Consider the following 4,620-nt stretch of genomic DNA (forward strand, 5'->3'; position numbering starts at 1 on the left):
AAGCATGTTAAGGGAGCAATGAAAAGTTAAGGGAAATGGCAAGATGTTTTAAAAAGAAAATGTGGCAGGAGTATATACAGGTTAAAATTATGAGGGCTGATACCTATTTTGCATGAGCCTACTTCCTTTCTTTTTCAGATCTGCTGCTGGTAGGCTTTCAAATTAAAAAGTGGTACTATCACAAATGTTACAAAAATGTTACCTTGAGTGCAGCAAGTTTTGTGCATGCTATAGACATGTATGCTAAGACACAATGAAGATAAACCTACAAGTTAATGGAAAAATCAATTAAATTTGATTTTTATAAAAGAGTTTTAGAAGTGATTAATAATTACTGTTAAATGAAGAATTAATTCAATTTTTATCAGTTCCTTTAAAAATTTTCCAGGATTTAGCTTGTGAATTACTTGTTCTTTAAAAAGAAAATTGTAGGTCACGATCAGAAAGTGTAATACATAGACATATTTATATATCCACATGTAAGATGTATTTATATTTATATTTTATACACACAAATAACTCTAAACAGATAATTATTTTAAACCATTTTATAAAACGCTGACTTTATGATTTTTTTATTATTCAGTGTCAAAATATAAAATTTGCCCTCTTTACCTTGATAACTTGTTACATCTGTCATCTTTCTTTAGGGTTTATACGTGTTCCCTTTATTAATCACTTCTCATTTCTATTTAATGACCAAATTCAGTTGTCAAAGTAATTAAATCTACCTTAGGAACAACTTACCATTTCTATGTGGTTCTCAAGTCTTTTGCTAAAGTAGCAGAAAACTTCCTTCTAAAATGGTGTAAAAGTGAAAAAAGATATCATATTGAATAGAAAAATCAAGGAGAATAATACCCTAAAGGTAAGGATCTTAAATGCCAAGTGCCCTTTCTCAGCCTCAACCATTTATTCTGAAAATGGCCTATCAAAAAAGCTTAGAAGGAGCAGTTTAATTACTGTTCCTTTGACATAAGTAATAAATTTTCAGTAGCAGAACCATGCATTTATTTAAGGCCAAATGGTGTACAACAAAACTGTCCTCCAAGGTATTTCTTTCTACCATTTTTCCCCACTTGGCCTCTACAGCTACGTTTTAACAACAATGTCTTTTTTGGGAGATATTTTAAAATATAAGCCTTAAATCATGGTTCTCTTTAGAAATAATAAAACCCAGCAAGAGAATTAAGAGAAGAGCACAACTTACTTTTAAACACTGAATAAATTAAATGTTTTAGTATATCTATATATTATGCTTATAGATATATATTTATACTTTATGAGTACTTTCTACACTGAATCTATGCCAATATGGGTACTTACCTCCACTAGCTTATACCTCTGTATCTTTACGTATGTCCAGACTTCATTTATGTCATGAATGAAGAAATCACTAATCGACTGCCATTAGTGGATGGCACAAGGGCAAAGTCCATTTTGTTCATAGTGGTTGGTACCATCCCTGAAACATAATAGGGATCTCATAATAATATTTAAATAAATAGACATTTTTAAATTCTGTATCCTGATAAGAATCAAAACACATTTCTTTTTTAATTGTCAACTTTGGTTTTAAATAAATATTAGGTACAGAAATCTCTCTCTTCATATATATATACATATATATGTATATATATCCATATTTCCTGAATTTATTAGTCCTTATCCCACTATAAGAAGCAAGTCATATAATGGTTTTGAAGAATTAAAATCCCTTTAAGAGTTGTCAATGCATTATTAATGTTAATATAATTAATGTATAATATTAATATATTGTTTTGAAGTTTATTCTACAAATATATATATATGTATATGATACACACACACAAATATGTATATGATACACACACACAAATATATACCCCTTTTGACAAACGAAATAAAGTTTGCAAACTTTCCCATCTTTTGTGCAAATGCTTTGGTGAATCTGGCCTAAGTAGCTTTATCTTTAAAATTAACTTTTATTCTTAATATGTTCTTCTATCATATACAGCTATAAGCAAAATATTTTAATGACCTCATTCTGGGTAAAATATGTCACTTAAAAGTATTAACTATCAATCTTTTACATCCAGTTTATAAGGGTTGTGTAAATAGTAAAATTGCAGGGTCAACTGAAACTGAGAACTCAAACTCAAACTGAAGACTCCAATAATTAAGAATGGCTCAGAGAATATTATGTTCAAATAAACAAACAAAAATACCCCCCTTTTTATTAATCTACATAATCCCTCTTTGGTTTAATAGGATTTAAACTAGCTCTAAATATATGAGCCTCTCTGAATTTTGAGAGGCTTAAAGCTTTCTTCCAGGCAAGGAAAGTGGATTAAAACCAACCTTTGTGTTTTACAATTTGCATTTAACTGACCTATACTGTGAGTCTAACTAAAGCCCTTAAGTGTTTTCTTCTCCTGGAGCTGGCATCTCTCTCGGATAAGATCATGAGATTCTATTTCCTTTGATGTATTTCAGCTTGCAAGCACAGTAACATGAACAAATTCCTTGCCAGCTATCCTCTTCTCTCCCAACCCACACATGCCCCCAAAGCATTCTCGGCTTTCATACAGAGCTCTTTATTTTTGTGGCAAATGTTCTCATTTAAGGGGGAAAATAGATTTTCTGAGAAAATCCTGAAGGGGGAACACATAGATCTTCTTAATGAGGTGTCAACGGGATGTCAATGAGGTGTTAAAATAGGTCGAGGCCATGCTGAATTTTTCCTTTCTTTTTCAATAATTTCTCTAAATTTCCAGTAGCCAATGTTAATAAAATGAAAAACCACCTTTTCTTTCATATGGTCTGCTTTGATGAATCTCATTGGCATTCTCAAGGTTGCTAACCTATGGCTCTTTTGAAACAGAACCAAGATTTCTATGTATAGTTCTTCGATTTTTAAAAACAAAACACAATATCATGCATTAATTATATTATGCAACTGCTATAATTTTTATCACTTATGTAAAAATCTCAAATATATATGTGCATATAAATATAAAAACAAAGGAATGTATAGCGTATACTTTCATGTCTGTTTTGGAAGCCTATAACCTTATGTGAACTAAGTTGCATAGTTAAATGTGGATGACAAAGAGGCAGCCAAATTTAAATATCTTTCAAAGAAAAAGGAGGAAAAAAAGAAAGGAAAGAAGGCAAGCAGGCACTCTGAATGTATTATTCATTAATGAAGAGAGTGCTGTATGGCACACTTGTAAGGCACTGTTTGTCTGAGCAAAGTGGGCAGTTGATATTTACAAGTATGAAATATAAAGATATCAAATATATTAACTGGAGTGCTGCTTTATGGATTGGCTGACTTTCAGAAGCATGAGAATGACTCTCAAAAGCCTGGCTACTGGTGCCAAATTGTCATGGATCATTTACAACCATTTTAAATAATTACAATTATTTTAAATAATTCTGGTATGTGTTACTTACTACAGCTGAAGAAAAATCAGTCCTTTCCTAGTAGGTCAGAAACTTTTTATTCTTAGTCAACTCTGTTTGTCTGTCCCAGCCAAAGCTCCAGGAAATATCATCAGGTATTGTCTAGAGCCCTGTTGTTGAGGTGTTGATTCGACCAGAAGACAAACATGTCATTTGTGAAATTCTGATTTTCAGTTTGTGTATTGATTAGCATAATTTTTTCTGCTTTTTTCTTTGAATCATATACAGAGCCATATGGCGACGATAGCTGTACAAAAGGCCTTGTGTAACATATCAAATGGATATAAGTCAAGTAACAATAATTGAAAGTATTAAAAGATTGTTCAGTCTTGCTGAAGAAATCAAGTGACAATGACTCCCTAAGTCTATATTTTCTTTCATCTGCATAGGTTTTTTTTTTTTTTTAATGAGATAAGCTTTAGACAAGTTACCTTCCCATTAGTACAGATCTAGATTTTCCATCTTAATAGTGGTATTCATTCGGGTACTTAAGTTCAGCAATAATGCAGACTTCCTGCTGCTTGGCCAAAAAATAAAAAAGAAGAAAAAAAAACAGAAGTTATTATTTCATCCATAACTAATTGAACTAAGAAATTAAACTCATGAGTGGTTCCTCAGGACATAAGCTATACTATTTATTATATTAGGTATTTATTATGTTAGGTCAAGTAAGGAAAACATTTTTTATTACCACCTTGTGTCATTCACTGCTATGGATAAGATGGCCATCCTTAGGAGTCTGTTGTAAAAATTGTTAGTTATACTACCAGAAAAGGATATTATGCGTCCCATCTCTGCAAGAAGACAGTTCTCTGAGAAAGTTAGGAAGTCATAGACTTGTAATGGTATAGCTTTTTATGCCACAGAAAAGTAATCCTTGCTCCTGGATTGGCATTAAAAATGAAGTGATTCTCACATTTAAAAAAAAGAAAGAAAGAAATGTACAAGAGATGTTACTATTTTTATTAGAGTTCTAGATATATTATCTCTGGGAGTTTTCACGAAAAATAGTCACTATTACAACCTAAGAATATTTATTTATCCTATTCCATTGCAAATGTAAGTTTCTTTGTGTTCAAAAGGGTACCATTATAGGTAAGATTGCCTGATACACCTTGATATTCTCATTTTTTTCTATGCTTAAACATTTTGAATGAATGCAACTTTCCATTA

At 31.3% G+C, this 4,620-nt stretch overlaps 1 annotated feature.

Annotated features, from left to right (window-relative positions):
* Positions 1,990 to 2,900: an enhancer, noted in NCBI's record as "NANOG hESC enhancer chr4:179674014-179674924 (GRCh37/hg19 assembly coordinates)". NCBI's record gives its function as "activates a minimal SCP1, AML or CMV promoter by ChIP-STARR-seq in primed H9 embryonic stem cells {active_cell/tissue: H9 hESC(primed)}" and the evidence as "EXISTENCE:reporter gene assay evidence [ECO:0000049][PMID:30033119]".

The sequence above is a fragment of the Homo sapiens genome, chromosome 4 (genome assembly GCF_000001405.40).
Source record: "Homo sapiens chromosome 4, GRCh38.p14 Primary Assembly".
Taxonomy (NCBI): domain Eukaryota; kingdom Metazoa; phylum Chordata; class Mammalia; order Primates; family Hominidae; genus Homo; species Homo sapiens.